Consider the following 17,984-nt stretch of genomic DNA (forward strand, 5'->3'; position numbering starts at 1 on the left):
TACATAGCCTTCTGGAGAACTTTGCCCCACCCCTGCAAAGTACTGTCACTTCATTGGCATTGTAATTGTGACTTCAAAAGGCCTTTCCCTCATTCTGTCAATGCAGCTGCTTTGGGATGATGGAGAATACAGTAAGACCAGTGAATTCCATGAGCATGAGCCCACTGCCACGCTTCTCTAGTTGTAAAGTGAGTGCCTTGGTCAGAGGCAATGCTATGTGGAATTCCATGACAGTGGATAAGGCATTCCGTGAGTCCACAGATGATAGTCTTGGCAGAAGCATTGTGTGCAGGATAGGCAAACCCATATCTGGAGTGTCTGTTCTGGTGAGGACAAACCTCTGCCCTTTCCACGATGGAAAAGGTCCAATATAATCAACCTGCCACCAAGTAGCGGGCTGATCACCCCAGAAAATGGTGCCACATCGAGGGCACAAGTCTCCCTGTTCTCAGTACTCATCCATATGCTAATTGCTTCCAAATTTATATCTCCAGACCAAGCCTCTCTTCCAAACTGCACACTTATATAATGTGCCACCTCCTGGACATCTCCACATTGCCTAGCAGGCTTCTCAAACTGTTTGCACAAAACAGCTCCTGGTCTTCCCCTCCAAACCTGCTCCTTCCTGTCCTCCTCATCATTCCAGCTGCTCAGACTAAAAACCATGGAGTTGTCATTGTCTCTTTCTCACTCTATGTCCAATATGTCAGCAAATTCTGGGGGCTCTACCTTCAAAATTTATTCTAAATTGGATTTCTTACAGCATCCACTGCTGTTTCAAGTCACCATTACCATTATCACTCCACCCCCACCCTTTTTTTTTCTTTTTTTTTTGAGATGGAGTCTCACTCTGTCACCCAGGCTGGAGTGCAGTGGCCTGATATTGGCACACTGCAACCTCTGCCTCCCAGGTTCAAGTGATTCTTGTGCCTTAGCCTCTGAGTAGCTGGGATTACAGGCATGCCCCACCATCACACTCAGCTAATTTTTGTATTTTTAGTAGAGATGGGGTTTCACCATGTTGGCCCACTGGCCTTGAATTAACTAACCTCAGGTGATCCACTTGCCTTGGCCTCCCAAAGTGTTGGGATTACAGGCATGAGCCACCGCCTCTGGCCACCATTATCTCTTGATTAGATTATTTTGAGAGCCAACTAAGAGATCTTTCTGCTTCTACCCCTTCCCCATCTTCAGTCTACTATCACCCAAACAATCAGAATAATCCAGTTGCCTCTCTGACCTCATCTCCTATTGTTGCCTCCCTTGCTCTAGCCACCCTGGCCTGCTTGTTGATTCTAGAGTATATAAAGCACACGTTTGCCTCAGACCCTGGCACTTGCTATTCCCTCTGCCCAGAACACCCTTTCCCCAAATATCCACATGGTTCACTCCCTCATCAGGACCTCTGTTAAGTATATCTTCCCCTCTGGCCTGAAATTCTGCAATTAGAGAATCATCCCCATGTGCTTTACAAAAATTTCTTTTTCAAAATCAAATATACCTGAAAGGGAGAACACACTAAATCTGTTATCAGACATTAATAGCCTAACATTAAGAGTTTACTATATTGGGTCAGGCATGGTGGCTCACGCCTGTAATCCCAGCAGTTTGGGAGGCTGAGATGGGTGGATCACCTGAGGTCAGGAGTTCGAGACCAGCCTGGCTAACATGGTGAAACCCCATCTCTACTAAAAATACAAAAATTAGCCAGGCATGGTGATGGGCACCTGTAATCCCAGCTACTAGGGAGGCTGAGGCAGGAGAATCACTTGAACCTGGGAGGCAGAGGTTGCAGTGAGTTGAGATCATGCCACTGCACTCCAGCCTGGGCGACAGAGCAAGACTCTGTCTCAAAAAAAAAAAAAAAAAAAAAAAAAAAAGAAATAAAAAAGAGTTCACTATATTGTTTTTTCATGCAGATAACTAGACAGTAGGGTGAAAATGGTAACCTAGTAAATTTTGAACGGTGCTCTCCCCAGCAAGGGCTAAGAGTATAAAAGCAGGAGCGGAGGACCTGGGCACAGTGAACAAAGTGCACGGGGCACAAGGAAGGCAATTGGGTTACTGGAAATATCAGAAAAGGAAGGTGGAGAGGACATGAAAAACACTCTGTCCCTTCCAAGACTTTGTACAAGATCACATTAGCATAGGGAAAATGAAGGGGACCTTCCATGGGAGGTATATATATGCCCCAGTCCTTTAAGGAAAAAAGATACAACTCAGAAATGGACCAAAACCTATCAAAAGTACATGGGATTGGCCACACAAGTTGTGAAAGGCAAGTGTCGGCTGTTTTTTTATGCTACTATGTAAGAAAACTACATTTTATTTTAATTTATTTATTTATTTATTTATTTATTTATTTATTTATTTATCTATCTACTTTTGAGATGGAGTCTCGCTCTGTCACCCAGGCTGGAGTGCAGTGGCGCGATCTCGGCTCACTGCAAGCTCCGCCTCCCGGGTTCACGCCATTCTCCTGCCTCAGCCTCCCAAGTAGCTGGGACTACAGGCACCTGCCACCACACCCGGCTAATTTTTTGTATTTTTGGTAGAGACGGGGTTTCACCGTGTTAGCTAGGATGGTCTCAATCTCCTGACCTTGTGATCCGCCCACCTCGGCCTTCCAAAGTGCTGGAATTACAGGCGTGAGCCACCACACCCGGCCTTATTTTTATTTTTATTTTTATTTTTTTGAGACAGAGTCTCACTCCGTCACCCAGGCCGGAATGCAGTGGCATGATCTCGGCTCACAGCAATCTCTGCCTCCCAGGTTCAAGCGATGCTTGTGTCTCAGTCTCTGAAGTATTATAGCTGGGACTATGGGTGCACTACCACACCGGGCTAATTTTTGTAGAAAAATACATTTTAAATTAAGATTTAAAAACAAAAACAAAGAAAAACTACTGGTATTTGTGTAGTGAAGAATTACCACTATGCAAAGAAAAGTCTGAGCTTTGTTTCTGCTTCTGGAAGTTTCCCTCGAATCCCTTGAAATTTCCTGAGTTACAGGAGTGAAATCAGCCTGACCTCCAGGGAGGGAAGGTGGTGGGAAATTGTGTTTAGCCAATTCCAGCCACCCTCAATTATACCCATGTAATAATTGAGTTATTATCTACTGAAGCCTCAATAGAGAGTCTGGACACCAAAACTAGGATGAGCTTTTTGGGTTGCCACACATTCCTGAGGATGCTCTTAGCTCTGGATACTGCCATATGTGTCTCTTTCTTTGGCTTGTTCTAATTTGTATCCTGTCATTATAATAAAACTATAATTGTCAGCCCCAAGTTCTGTGAGTCGTTCTAGAAAATTATTGAACCTGAGTAATCATGGGAACCTCCTATTTTGTAGCGAGCTGGTCTGAAGTAAGTAAACTTTGCATACAATGAGTGAAATTGGCCATATTTTATTTAATTAAGCTACTATATTCTCCTCATACTGATGGCCTTTCCTGGGGGAAGAGAGAATTTGTTGACCTCAGCAAGACCAAAATTGGTTATTTAAGGAAAATTTAGTCCAGAGTCTAGAGAGAGCCTGTCCCAGAATTGGTATCCAGATAGCCCACTCCTAACATATGCTAGTTCTTGAGTGCACGGAAAGATAACAAGCCAATAAAATAAATAGAAAATGGCAAACTTATGAATAGCCAGTTTTGAGAAAAAATATGTAATTGGCTCTTAATTAAACAAAAGATGCCCAATCTCACTCATAACATGAGAAAGACAACTTAAAACTACAGGGAGATGCCATTCTTACCTGTCATATGGGCAGAGGAAAAACTCTGTATTCTGGATAACACACCATGTTGTGAGATCTGGGGAAACCTCATCTGGCACGCCCATACATTGGCAGTAAAATTCAAAATTGGTACAGCCTCTGTGAAGGGTGACTTGGCAATACATCACAAAATTGCAAATACATATTTGCATTTGAATCAGCAAGTTCACGTTTAGGAATTTATTCTATAGATCTATCCATGTTTTAGTGAAAAGATGTCTGATGCAAATTGAAAAACACTGTTCCATTATTTTACAACTCTTTTCATAAAGAGTTGGGTCAATTTCCCCACTCCGTGAATGTGGAGAGGCCCTGTGTCTTGCTTTGACCAATAAAGTGTGGCAGAAGTGATGTTGTTCTAGAGCCTAACCTTAGGAGGCTTGTAGCTTCCACTCTACTTCTCTTGGAATTCTGCCCTTAGACCAGTTGGTGGTTAGAGGCTGGAAAAGCACCAAGTAAGCTGTGAGCAGAGGCTGGAGAAATGGCAAACCAACAGCTGCTAGAGCTGGAAAGGCAGTGAGAAAACAGTCACTGCAGGCGGAAGAAAGGGCAACTAGAGCTGGAAAGGCAGTGAGAAAACAGTCACTGCAGGCTGAAGAAAGGGCAACTTGTGTTATGTCGTCATTGGAATAATTGGCAAAATGTTTTCTGAGGAAACTTAAAAGATAAAAAAAAACGTACCTAATAACATTTTAAAAACATGATTAAGGAGATCTCCAGGCAGAATGTTGAAAGTGCCACTTGGCTTCTCCTCGGTATGATAACATGCAAGAAAAGAGAGATGAGCAAAGGAAGGAACCATTCAGCTTATAAGCAAAGTTTAGAGGATTTACAGAAGCCCAGGGATTTGCTAGTTTGGAAAACATAACTGTCTCTTGTCCTCTGTTTTCCCAGCTGGTAAAAATTAGTCTAAGTTGGCCAGCCGTGGTGGCTCATGCCTGTAATGGCAGTGCTTTGGGAGGCTGAGGCAGGAAGGTTGCCTGAGGCCAGGAGTTTGAGACAAGACTGGGCAACATAGGGAGACACCATTTCCAAAAAAAAAAAAAAAAAAAAAAAAAAAGTCAGTGGTGGTGTGTACCTGTAGTCCCAACTACTCGGGAGGCTGAGGCAGGAGGATTGCATGAGCCCAGGCGTTTGAGGCTACAGTGAGCCATGACTGAGCCACTGCATTCCAGCCTGGGCAACAGAGCAAGACCTGGACTTCCTGAAAGTTAAAGCCAAAAACCACATCAAGGGTATGGTTGTAAGAACCCCTGTGAAAACCTATGAATGATTTAAGGCAATGTCTGAAGGAACCTTGCAGTCACGGCTTCTGAGAATCTTAAAGGCCTTTTCCAAGAGCAGCCTCAAAATATTTCCTGAAAGACCTTGCTTCTCTTGATATTTACCCCAGAACTCCATGCAGTTTCCCTATTTTAATACATTATGTCAATTATATCACCAGAGGTGAGAAAATAAAACCCAAAATGACTCAGGGCCTCCCATATCAGTGAAATTTTTAGGGGTCCATTTGTCTGGGGTATGCCAAGACATCCCAGGGTGAGGACAAGTTCTTGTACCTTGCTTTTCTTCCACTTAGGGGTATGGTACTGCTGGGATTTTGGATTTTGGAGACAGCAACACACCTCTTTGAATACTGCTCCCACGCATGTATTGGGTGACTCAGAAGGCTACGGATTTTGAGGGAGGCCCAGAGCAAGACTACACTTCGCAGCAGGTTCTAGCTGCAGTTTAAGCGGCCTTTCTGCTTGGGCCATGTGCCTGGTAATTCCATGGTGCTAGAGATGCTTGTTGCAGGCATGTAGGCCACACAGAGTCTCTTGCAAGCTCTGTTAGGAAAGCTGCAGTATTGGCCTCTAGGGTTCTGTGGCAAGGCCGTGCCTGCAACAGTTAATGCTCCCAGAAGTGGATCTTAACAAACGATGGATAGAGGGTTGGTAGATACATATCCCAACTTCCTTGCCCCTCAGGTAGGAAAACTCTGAGGTGCATCCTAAGCCATCTGTCCCAGAGTTCCCTGAAGGAATTAAGCCCCAGCTATCCACAATTTACCCTGTATTGGCTTCTTTCCCTTCTCAGACCTTTATTTTCCTATTGGTGATCTTCCCCAGAGAAACTTCTTGCACTCAAAAGCTTGTCTCAGTGTCCGTCTCTGGAAGGATCCAACTCAATTGACCAACAATTAGAGAAAGGCAAAGGATCTTGGTCATCTTTTAATCCTGCTCAAAACACAGCTTTTTCCCAGAAAAGAAAGTCCTATGCTGCAATATCCTGGATTTGGTGGTTCAATGAGATTTCTCCTTTTTCTTTCTTTCTTTCTTTCTCTCTTTCTTTCTCTCTCTCTCTTTCTTTCCTTTCTTTCTTCCTTTCTTCCTTTTTCTTTCTCTCTCTCTTCTTTTCCTTTCCTTTCCTTCTTTTCTGCCTCCCTTCCTTTCTTCCTTTCCTTCCTTCCTTTCATCCCTTCCTCTCCACTCCCCCTTCTCTCTTTCTCACCCTCTTTCTTTCTTTTGATGGGGTCTTGCTCTGTCACCAGGCTGAAGTGCAATGGTGCGATCATGGCTTATTGCGGACTGGAATTTCTGGGCTCAAGTGATCCTCCTGCCTCAGCCTCCTGAGTAAGTGGGACTATAGCCATGCGCTGCCATACCTGGCTAATTAAAAAAAAAATTAAAGAGACTGGGTCTCTCCCTCTGTGTTGCTCAGGTTGGTCTCAATCTCCTAGCCTCAAGCAATCCTCCTGCTTCAGTCTCCTGAAGTGTTGAGATTACAGGTGCTAGCCACTGTGCTTAGCTATCAATGAGTTTTCGGTTGTATTTGCACATGCATACTAAAGAGGCAAGAAAAAAAAAACTGAAGATACCAGCTATGCGTCCTCCAATTCTAACTCCAGCAGATACCAGCTGTGCATCCTCCAATTCAATTCTAACACCTTCCACCTGGAGACAGGCTCAGTCACATCCCACAGGCTGCGGGCTCAGTCCCACAAGGCTGCCCCACTTCAAACGCCAGTCATAACCACAGGCTGTAACCTGTGCTTCTGACCAAGCAACTATAAATTGAGGTTTTCAGGGCCCTCACCTTGGGTTTGATTAATTTGCTAGAGTGACTCATAGACCTCAGGGAAACACTTTACTTACACTTACCCATTTATTACAAGGATGTTACAAAGGACACAGATCAAGAGCCAGCTGGAAGAGATGCACAGGGAAGGGGTGCGGAGCTCCCATGCCCTCTCCAGGGCACCACCCTCCAGGCACCTCCATGTGTTCAGCTATCTGGAAGCTCCCCAGACTCTGTCCTTTTGGGTTTTCATGGAAGCTTCATTATGTAGGCATGAATAATTATATCATTGACCACTGGTGACCAACCCAAACTTCAGATCCTTTCCCTTCCCCAGAGGTTGGAGGGTGGGGCTGAAAGTCCCAGCCCTCTAATCATGGCTGGGCCACCATTTACCTCATTAGCATACAAAAGACTCCTGTTGCTTTAGAGATTCCAAGGGTTTGGGAAGCTATATGTCAGGAGACAGGAGAAGACCAAATATATATTTCACAGTATCACACACACATACTCTCTTGATCACAGGTGAAGTTTTGCCCAAAGCAACAGAAGTGAAGCAAGCTTCTATTCTCACAGAGGTTTGGGTCCGGTAGATACTAATAACTTCTATTCTCTGATGCATTGTAGTAGGGCAGACATTAAGCATTTCATGTGCATTTTTTTTTTCTTTTTGAGACAGGGTCTCACTCTATCTCCCAGGCTGGAGTGCAGTGGCACTAACACAGCTCACTGTAGCCTCAATCTGCAGGGCTTAAGCGATCCTCCCACCTCAGCCTCCTGAATAGCTGGGATTACAGGCATGCACTACCATGACCAGCATATTTGTATTTTTTGTAGAGACGGGTTGTTACTATGTTGCTCAGGCTAGTCTTGAACTCCTGACCTCAGCCTCCCAAGTAGCTAGGAATACAGGCACATGCCACCACAGCCAGCATATTTTTGTATTTTTTGTAGAGACAGCTTACTGCCATGTTGCTTAGGCTGATCTTGAACTCCTGAGCTCAAGGGCTCCACAGGCCTTGGCTTCCCAAAGTGCAAGGACTAAGGTGCAACTGCCACACCCAGCCTTTCATATGTATTATCTTATTTAAGCTTCACTTTACAAGTGAGAAGGGCAGCCTTGGCTCAGAGAAGTTAGGTGACTTGCAGCAAATCACATAATTGCTAAGTGATGGATCTGAGCTTTAGCCCCAGGACTATCTGACCTTGGGTCTAAACTTATACTACTGTATTTTTCGTTAAGTCAGTCAGAGTTCTATCCTTTGACAGAAAGTATAACCTTCTTTTAAGGCAGAATAAGACCCTCTGCCCAACCCTGCTCTTTCTTTCTCCTCCGCACTAAGAAGACAGCGAATACAGTAGAGGGTTTTGGACTGGGATAGTGGTTGCAGAGAAGATCTGGAACTAAAAATATGGACCAGGGGTAGAAATGGTGGTGATTCCACCAAACTTGGAAACACTTAACAAGACCCCATAACATGCAAGATATGCAAGAAATGGGGTACATTTTCTATACCAGTGCCTTAAGTAAAAAAATTCCTTGTTAAACAAATGATTTAGAGAAGACAGAACCAAATATATATATATAGCTGTGTGTGTATTCTAATAAAGGTTGTTAAAGTCTTAAAGTTAGTGGTGGGAGAAAACAATAAAAAAATATGAAATCTCCCTATGTTAATAAACTAATTTCAAATACCAAGGGTTGGTTTTTGGTTGGGTGAGTCTGTTTTTGCCTTGATTAAAAAGAAGTGATTTTTTTCTTCAGCCTAGTTTTCCTGGTATGAAAGGCAAGAAGGAATGACATTCCATAACTGTTATAGAGGTGAAAACAGTTTTATTTATTGGTGGTCATTACCGGCCTATAACCAGGGCACAACCTTCTTGGTAAACATTTACCAAGCATTAGTGGAAGATGATTCACTAACTTTTAAAACTCTCCTTCCCTTATATGCATATTAATACCACGATATCTTTAGCTTTTAAGTCCATATATACAGGCACAGGTGCGAATAAATTCAAACATATCACTTGTAGTGGTTTACATAAGGGCTTGCTAGTTCAAATGGGGTTGTTAGTTTTGCATCTCAAATTAGTTCCTGTCAACCCAGCAACTAAAGAAAATTCCTTTGTGAAAAAAGTTTCCAGGCATGACCCAGTAATTGTTTTAATGGATTTTCAATGAAGGGTGAAGTACCATGCTATGTAGCCTGTGGGCATTCCATAAATATATTTTGACTGATTCTGTTAACAAACTACATAGAAAAAACCAAATACTTACTATCCAATCCTCTTATATTGTTTCCCATAGGCTCTGTCTGTTAGTGTATTTATAAGCATTTAAAGTGTATAAGGGAGCTCTGGCAGTGAGAGTGAATTGCCCAATGCAGAGAAGCACTCTGGGCTGGAGGGTTTTACTTAGTCTAAGATTTTCTTTTTTTTTTTTTGTGAGACGGAGTCTGGCTCTGCCGTCAGGCTGGAGTGCAGTGGCATGATCTTGGCTCACTGCAGCTTCCGCCTCCTGGGTTCAAGCGATTCTCCTGCCTCAGCCTCCCGAATAGCTGGGAGTACAGGTGCATGTCACCACGCCTGGCTAATTTTTGTATTTTTAGTAGAGACAGGGTTTCACCATGTTGGCCAGGATGTTCTCGATCTCTTGACCTCGTGATCCACCCTCCTCGGCCTCCCAAAGTGCTGGGATTACAGGCGTGAGCCACTGTACCAGGCTACTTAGTCTAAGATTTTCAGTGTGCACCTGAGATTTGCCCTTTCCAAAATGAGGAAGAGGCCTGAAGCCGATCAGCTGAAAGAAGTACTAAGCCCTGCAGGCTGAAAAGGTAATGTCCCACCTATGCTGGAGGACCTGATGTTGGTATAGTCAATTTTCTGTCTTCTATGTAAGGTATAGATCTGCTCTGATCTTGACATTGTGAAGAAAGCTACTATACTGTCAGAATCTGCTGTAATATAGCCCTGAGATGAGAAAGGTGTGTAGAACAGAAATCTTCACTGCCCTTCTCCCAAAACATTCATTGACCCCTCCTGTAAGATATATATATATATATAATTATTATTTTTTCTAGACAGAGTCTCGCTCTGTTGCCCAGGCTGGAGTGCAGTGGTGCAGTCTTGGCTCACTACAATCTCAGCCTTCCAGGTTCAAGGTTCCCAGGTTCCCAAGCAGATTCTCGTGTCTCAGCCTCTTGAGAACTGGGGCTACAGGCACACGCCACCACACCTGGCTAAGTTTTATATTTTTAGTAGTGATGGAGTTTTGCCATGTTGGCCAGGCTGGTCTTGAACTCTTGATCTAAGGTGATCCGCCAACCTTGACCTCCCAAAGTGCTGAGATTACAGTCATGAGCCACCGCGCCCGTCCTGCATTCTTGCTGTGTGTGTGTAACCCTTGCTATAGTTATATAATTTAGGTTGAATTTAATTTATACGTTGACTATGATCTGAGGGTCAAGATCATTTGGGATAAAGGAGAGATCAACTACATGTCCGTATACTGCAAGTTAGAATTTAGTTAAGAAGGCCCTGAGTAGATTCCAGAATTATAATAAAGCTTTCATTTTTAGTTTGAGGAAACTTCAATATGGGCGACAGAACAAAGAACTCGGGTGGTAGGAATTAAGTTGGTAGGAATTAAGAGGGTGCCTGCCAGACGGGCTGGAAGTGAAGGAAGCCATGTGCCTGCAAAGCTGTTTAGGGCTGCCATGTGTTTATGCCCTGGCAGAAACCTCTGGTTAGAAGTTAGATCGCTTACATTTTTCTTAAGTAACCCATTTTGTTACATCCATATGTTTTCCCTCTTTCCAGAAGGAAAAAAAAGTATCAGCGAGCCCTTCCTCACGGATCAGGAAGCTCAAGGGATTACTCAAGTACATTGGCGGCAGTTACAAAGATATTTTCTTTTTTTTTTTTTTTTTTTTTGAGACGGGGTCTCGCTCTGTTGCCCGGACTGGAGTGCAGTGGCGCGATCTCGGCTCACTGCAAAGCTCCGCCTCCCGGGTTCACGCCATTCTCCTGCCTCAGCCTGCCAAGTAGCTGGGACTACAGGCGCCCGCCACGACACCCGGCTAATTTTTTGTATTTTTAGTAGAGACGGGGTTTCACCGTGTTAGCCAGGATGGTCTCGATTTCCTGACCTCGTGATCCACCCGCCTCGGCCTCCCAAAGTGCTGGGATTACAGGCGTGAGCCACCGCGGCCTACAAAGATATTTTCAAGCATTGTTCTCCCTACCCCAAATTTCTGAGTCATTTAAGTAGAGAAACAGCTCTTTTGCCCTGGCTCATATATGAAAAAAGTAGAATTCAGGCCAGGCTTCAAGTCTAGGGATGATTCTCATTAATGAGGTTAGGTCTGCCACCTGGTGGTGAGAAATAAAATGCCACTTGATTTTCTCATCTGATCTGTCCATATACCACACTTAAAAATTCCACTTTGCAAATCCATCCTTAACCTCTGACTCGGGTTGTGCTTGCCGCCAGCCAAAAGTTCCCAACTGATGACAACGGCACCGACACCTTGGGGAGAATTTTTAGGCAACCATCTGGAACTCATTCCCTATGAACACATTTGAAGTGTTTTAGAACACTGGTAGGTGGTTCTACAACACTTCAAATGTGACTTAAGGTAGATTTTAGGAGAACAAGGTTCTCCTAAAGAGGAAAGATAGCACTAATTCATTCATTAGTACACAAACTATTGTGTAAAAAAAAACTATGCTCTTCAATTTGTAAACAAATGTGTAAGACAATGCCCCGCTCCATCAGTGACAAAGAGATGGGAGTGGATAACCAAGTTAGGCTGGGAAAATAAGAGTAATTCTTGCTTCCCGTTGAAAGGCTGAGGAGAGTGCAGAATCATCTGAAGCCATTAGGGGGAGTGCTAAGTCTTCAGAAACACACACACACACACACACACACACACACACTCGAATACTAGAATATGAATTCTGGAATATGTCCACAATTATTTGGGGATTTGGCCTATGGATCCCTCACAGAGGGTGAAGATACCCAAGTACCCTGGAGAGCTTCAGCTTCCAGTAACCTCCTCCAGCACTGAAGACTTCAGCTCCTTCCTTTTTTCACCTGCCCCTATTTTCCTTTCCTTGTAGGCCAGTACTCTCAAAGTGTGGCCCCCAGTATCACCACTGTCACCACCTGGGAAACTTTCAGAAATGCAATATCTCTGCCCGTACCCCAGATCAAAGGAATCAGAAACTGTAGGGCAGGGTTAATAAGGCCTCCAGGTGATTTTCATGCAAGCTGTGAATCTCTAGTCCAGGGGTGTCCAATCTTTCGGCTTCCCTGCCACATTGGAAGAAGAATTGTCTTGGGCCACACATAAAATACACTAGCTAAAAAATTTTTTTTTTTGCAAAAAACCTCATCATGTTTTAAGAACATATATGAATTTGTGTTGGGCCGCATTCAAAGGTGTTCTGGTCTGCATGCGGCCCATGGGCCGTGGGTTGCACAAGCTTGCTCTAGTCTTAGGGTGATCCTCTGGGCACAGACCAGGGAGACTTGTCGGAGTGGGAGCTAAGGGGAGAAGCAATGGGTCCTAGAAGCCAATCTAGTTACCCAGTCCAGCCCAGAGTGTTAGAGGGAGCAGAGAACAGCCACAAAGGGAGGTGGCAGAGGTTTTTGCCAACTGAGCACCAGCTTTGTGGACACTGACCCTCCAATCACCCTTGGTCACAAGATCTTCAGATGGGAGACTCAGTCTTCAATTAAAGCGACACTAGAGAAGAATCCCTACAGTACCCAGAGCAAATAAGATAAATAGGGCTGTGTCCACCCCACCTGGGTGCAGCTCCAGCTCTTTTCACTCCCTTCCAGATCCGCGGAAAGCACCCCTGACACGCATATATTTGTGGATGGGATACCTGGATTGAGAGCGAACTCCATCAACCCCCCGAGACACTGCACCCTGCTCCCTCCTCTGCTGGAGGAACTGCCACTTTCTAAAGGAAAATACTATTTAATGTGCAGAATTACAGTACACACAATACTTATAGTATGGCAAGTATTAGTCCTTGGTATTTTTTCCGCCACCTTTTCCCATCTCCCCATCCTGTATGCCTGTGCCTCCTTACCTTTCTAGCACAAAACAGGCACTTAAAAAATAGTGCAGAATGAACAGCTGAAGCTTGCTTCTACTATCTTCCATATTTTTCTCTGGCTGCTGTCAAAAAGCGCCAGCTCAGAGCCAGGGTGGCCGACTTTGTCACAGTCTCTGCTGGAAAACGACATTTTTTAGGGGGAAAATCATAAGCCAATGCAGACATGTCCCTGCCCCCTATTCCTTCTCCCTGCACGTGGGCACACAATGGGCGGCCGGCAGAGGTGGGGGAGTGAGGAGCACAGGCTCCGTGTGTCCAAAGTCCCGGGTCACCTCGGCCTGGAATCCATCTAACTCAGCTGCAAACCAGAAGACGCGGCCTGGGAGGGGCGTAGAGCCCTCCCCCACCTCCCCGGGCTGGGTGACTGTCAGGCCGCATCTGCTCCAAATTTATGGCTCCTCCTCGGGCCGCCGCCGGCCTCTCCACGGCCTCTTTACCAACTGCAGCCCCAGCTGAGACCCCTCCCGCGGGGAGGGAGGGAACACGAAGCGCGGCCGGGGCTGGGGGCGGGGAGCAGGTGTGAAGCGGGGTGGCAGCGGCGCGCGGTCACCCTCCACCGCGCCGCGGAGACCCGGCGTCACCCCCACGCGCACACAATGGCGCGGGGGCCAGGCCGAGGACGGCCCATTAGCGGCTGATGGAGGAGGCGGGAGCCCGGCGGGCCGCCTAATCCCCGCACGCGGACACCTGGGTGGGAGCGCGGGCGAGTGGAGGGCGCGCCTGCACGCAGGATCCCGGGCTGGGCAACGGCCTAGACCGCCTCTCGCCAAACCTCCCACGCCAGCGCCAGTCCGACGAACAGGAGCTGGTCCAGCGAACAATAAAAGGCCCCGGGGCTGGGGAGGGATGGAAGCGCCCTTGGAGCGCGCAGGCTACGGGCGCCCCCGGCAGCGCCCCCGCGCCTTCCCCTCCCGCCCCGCGGCCGCTGATTGCCTATTGTGCGTCCCCTCTGCGGCCGCCCGCGCGATGCACTCTGCGAGCTGGCCCCTTCGTTTCTAAATGAGCAGCCAGCGCCGCAGACACGTGCCAAGGGAAGGGTAGTTCACTGCGTGGGGCGGGGGGACATGCAATAAGACAAGAGACCGCACGGAAATAGCTCCGTGCCCGTCTGCTGCACTGTCCTTCTCACGTGCCTTCGGACAAGGGGACTTTCACTCTCTCCCCTCCTCTGCCCCAATCGCTCTGTCTCCCTGAGACTGACCACCCTCTTCTCTAACCCGAACTCCGCAGGGGAGCCTTCAGCCTTTTATTATTATTTTTTTCCTGGGTAGTAGATGTCTTTGCCTTGGCTGGGCTCTGGAATGCTCAGGTAAAAAGTGGGTCTGGCCGGATGCAGTGTGTATCTTCAACACGGAGGCTAGAGAATTGGATAGAGGAGCAGCGCTAGTCTGTGACAGCTCCAGACGCCCTGCTCCAAGCACCCCAATCCTAAGCACCCCAATCCTCTGGTATCTTCCGTCCCAGGGAACTCTGGCTGGTCGTCATGGCTTTGTTTAATGCTCCTCTCTGCCACACTACCGCGTTCCCTGTGGGATGGGAACCTCTGGGAAAGGACCTGACAAGGGACCAGAAAAAGGTTTGGGGAATCAAAGTCTAGTAGTAAGGGGTCCTACCACTGATGGTTTGGACTCACGGGCAATTTACAGTTGGATGGAAGCTGAAGTGTCATCAGATTTAGAGGCCACAGTCTGGCAGCCTGTGGACCAAATCCAGGCCACCAACACATTTTGGTCCATAAAGTGTTTTTTAAACTTTCCATCATGAATAATAGCATATTGTGGATCATAAATATATATAAATTAGTGAGAATGCTATAATAAACCCCCATAGTCCCACCACCCAGTTTCAGCCAGCACTTAATCTATTCAAAGGCAATCTTCCTTCATCTATTCTCCCACTCTCCTCCAGAATTTGAAGCAAATCTCAGAAATCCTATCATTTCTTCTTTAAGTACTAAAAAGTAGTCCTAAAAGATAAGAATTCTTTTAAATAGCATAATAATATCAATATCACACCTAAAACAATAATTCCTTGTCCTCAAATATATAGTCAATGTTCAAACTTCCCCAATTGTCTTATTTTTCTTTATTGTTCAAATTGGGATCCAAATGAATCTCCACAGTGCATTCTCTCCTTTAATCGGATAATCCCCCAGTTAATCTCTTTTTTTCCTGGAAATTTATTTGTTAAATAAACCAGATCATTTGTTCTGTAGAATTTTCCACAGTCTGGATTTTGTTAAATGTATCCCCATGGTGCCATTTAACATGTTCTTCTACCTCTACATTTCCTGTAAATTGGTTGTTAGATATAGAGGCTTGATCAATTAATGCTGGATTTTTTAAAGAATAATTCATAGACCATAGTTTAATTCGATCCAAAGTAATGTCTGCTTGTCAGTGATGACCATTGTCTAGACCCATTATTTCATTAGGGATTGCCAAGTTGTGACATTCTAGTTCTATGATTCACTCTTCATTTATGAGCTTGAATACTTCTCTAAAGAGAATCTGTCATCAATGATTTGTTTATGCAGAGGTACACGTCAAATAGGAAAGGCAGGATAAATGCTTGATTCTTTCCCTTATTATTTATCAAAATAATGAGGTGATTCCTCAGATTCCCCTAATGGTGACCAACGATTTTTTTTAAATCACTTATGAACAAATGGATTTAAATATATCTCATGTGTTTCAAACCAAGTATATTTTGATTGGGCATTTTAAAATTAGAAGATGTCATATTAAAAACATTGACCTCTGGCTTCCGTTGTAGAATATCTGGCAACCTTGAGTCCTTTTCCAGCAAGACTAGAGCAGACTTTGGCTGAGGGGCACTGCCTCCTTCAGTAGGCATTCATTCTTGCCTTGGCATGCTTTGATCTTCTTAGACCCTGGACCCCCTGCCCTGCAGGAGTAAGTCTGTAAAGCAGATCCAATCCAAGTCTCTCACCTTATAGATGAGAGAGCTGATGAAGTAGCTTACCTTCCTGAGACTGGAAGACAAGTCTCCTGGCTGCCTACCAAGACGAGGGTAAAGCAAACAGGGAAGACCAGCTGGTTTCTGCCTTACCTGCAAGTTGAGCTGAGCCAGAGACCTGGGACCACTTCAAGATAACCTTCCTCCCCATTTGCAAACACACCTTGCAGAGGAAACTTGGGAATATTCCAAACTCCACTCCCTCTTTTGCCTCCCACATCCAATCAGCCACCTAGCCTGCTAATTAGCCTCCCTTCCTCCATTCCTGTCCTCCTCCAACTCATCCTCCTCACTCGCAATGAGGTTTTCCAAAACATATGTCTAACCATGTCACTCTCTGGCTTTAAAATCCGTCACTAACTGCTCATTGCCTTTAGGTTACATCGAAGTCAACATTAGCACAGCACACAAGGCTCCTCATGTCCTGGGCTCTGCCATGGCTAGCTCCTTACCTCATGCTGTCTCCTTGTCACAACTCCGTCCTCCAGCTGGACGGAATAGCCACAGGGCTCTGTGCACACAGTTTTGTCTATGTTATGTCCTCTCTGTATTTGCTGTTTACTCCTTTAAACATCCACTGCTTCCCTGGCTGGCTTCCACTTCTAGCTTAAGTCCCACTCCAGGCTTTGATCTTAGGAAAGGCCTTCTTGGCAAGCCTTGACTGCATTCCATGTCCTACTCCGCACTTCCACAGCATTCTGGCTCACTTTAAGATGAGGACCTTGCCACTGATGGGTGGTTTTGCTCTTTGTTTGGTTTGCTTTTTCACTTGTTTCCCTCCTGGCCGGTGTGGAAGCTTCCTGATGCCTGACAGGGGCTATGTCTGTATCTCCATCTCCTAAATCATGTTCCCAACCATGTTCCCAATGCACAAAGTAGGTGCAGGCCAGTAAGGATTTGGTTAGTCAATGAAATTAAACAAAAGAGATGAAGGTTTGTGGACTGTTTTGGAGAGAAAGAGGACCCCCTTCCCTTGCAGGGAAGGGACTTGATGCAAACGACCGCATGGCAGTAGGCTCGCTGGGCAGATGCCCAGGAGATATTAGGGCTGCTGGGGCTGAGGTAATATCCTGCGAGGCCAGCCGGGTCTGCAGCCCTGGCTGGGTCACGACCCAGGCTCTGCCTGGCTCGGACATCCTCGGACCTGTGCATGCATGTGTGCGTTTGTGTGTGCGCGCGCGTGTGTGTATGTGTGTGTGTGTGTGTGCGCGCGCACACACACACACACACACACACACACACACAGCCTCGCCAACCCCGCCTCCTCCCGCTGGGAGGATAATTAAAGCGCCAAACGGCGGAGCGGGCGGGCAGCGTTCCCGGGGGCGCATTTCATCGGGGCTGATTAATGAGGCCGGGGAGTTAATGAGGAGAAAGCTAAACGCAGGGAGCTGAGCCGCGGAAGGCCTCTCCGAGGCCCTGGAGGGGGTCCTCCGAAGGCATCTCCCGCCCTCTCTTTCTAGTAGCGGCTTAGCGCAAGCCACATGGTGCCCCAGGCTCCTCTCGCCGCCTCAAGCCAGGGGCGGGGGGGAGGAGGGGTCGCCCCAAGTCATACCGGCCGCACTGAAGTCGGTCTCCTCCGCTTGTGGCTAACCCGGCTAAACAGCAAAAGAGCCTGCCTTGCCATCTAAAACACAACAAAGGACCTCAGGAGACCGCCACTTTCTTCTTCTCCTCAGGGAACTTTGGGCATGGGTCCCAGACCACCTGCAGATTGCATTCCAGATCCGAATTAAGGATCAGCTCTGCCGTGCCAACCGAGTAACCTTAGACAAGTTACTTAGTCCTTTGAGCCTCAGCTTCTGCGTCTGTAAGATGGGCTCACACTCCTTACCCGCCCTAAAAATGGCTTTTAGTGAGTGCCAGACACTACTCTAAGCACTTGGCGTGTATAATCTTATTGATTCTTCCCAACAGCTCTAGGAAGTAGGCTCTGTTATTATCGTCTTTACTTCAGAGATAAGGACATTGAGGCAGAGAGCAGGGTCTTAACTTGCCTGAGGTCGCACTGCTACTTGCCAGGACTGACCCAG

At 46.3% G+C, this 17,984-nt stretch overlaps 1 long non-coding RNA gene across 1 annotated transcript in view, besides 2 other annotated features; it reads left to right on the plus strand.

Moving 5' to 3' along the window:
- Positions 1-8,536, plus strand: part of MSANTD2-AS1 (MSANTD2 antisense RNA 1) — a 34,060-nt gene extending 25,524 nt beyond the window's left edge. Inside the window, exon 5 of the long non-coding RNA NR_103862.1 lies at positions 6,935-8,536. This is a non-coding gene — a long non-coding RNA (MSANTD2 antisense RNA 1). The remainder of the gene's footprint in view (positions 1-6,934) is intronic.
- Positions 16,642-17,205: an enhancer, noted in NCBI's record as "H3K4me1 hESC enhancer chr11:124712489-124713052 (GRCh37/hg19 assembly coordinates)". NCBI's record gives its function as "activates a minimal SCP1, AML or CMV promoter by ChIP-STARR-seq in naive H9 embryonic stem cells {active_cell/tissue: H9 hESC(naive)}" and the evidence as "EXISTENCE:reporter gene assay evidence [ECO:0000049][PMID:30033119]".
- Positions 17,206-17,767: an enhancer, noted in NCBI's record as "H3K4me1 hESC enhancer chr11:124713053-124713614 (GRCh37/hg19 assembly coordinates)". NCBI's record gives its function as "activates a minimal SCP1, AML or CMV promoter by ChIP-STARR-seq in naive H9 embryonic stem cells {active_cell/tissue: H9 hESC(naive)}" and the evidence as "EXISTENCE:reporter gene assay evidence [ECO:0000049][PMID:30033119]".

The sequence above is a fragment of the Homo sapiens genome, chromosome 11 (assembly GCF_000001405.40).
Source record: "Homo sapiens chromosome 11, GRCh38.p14 Primary Assembly".
In the NCBI taxonomy this organism is placed as follows: Eukaryota; Metazoa; Chordata; class Mammalia; order Primates; family Hominidae; genus Homo; species Homo sapiens.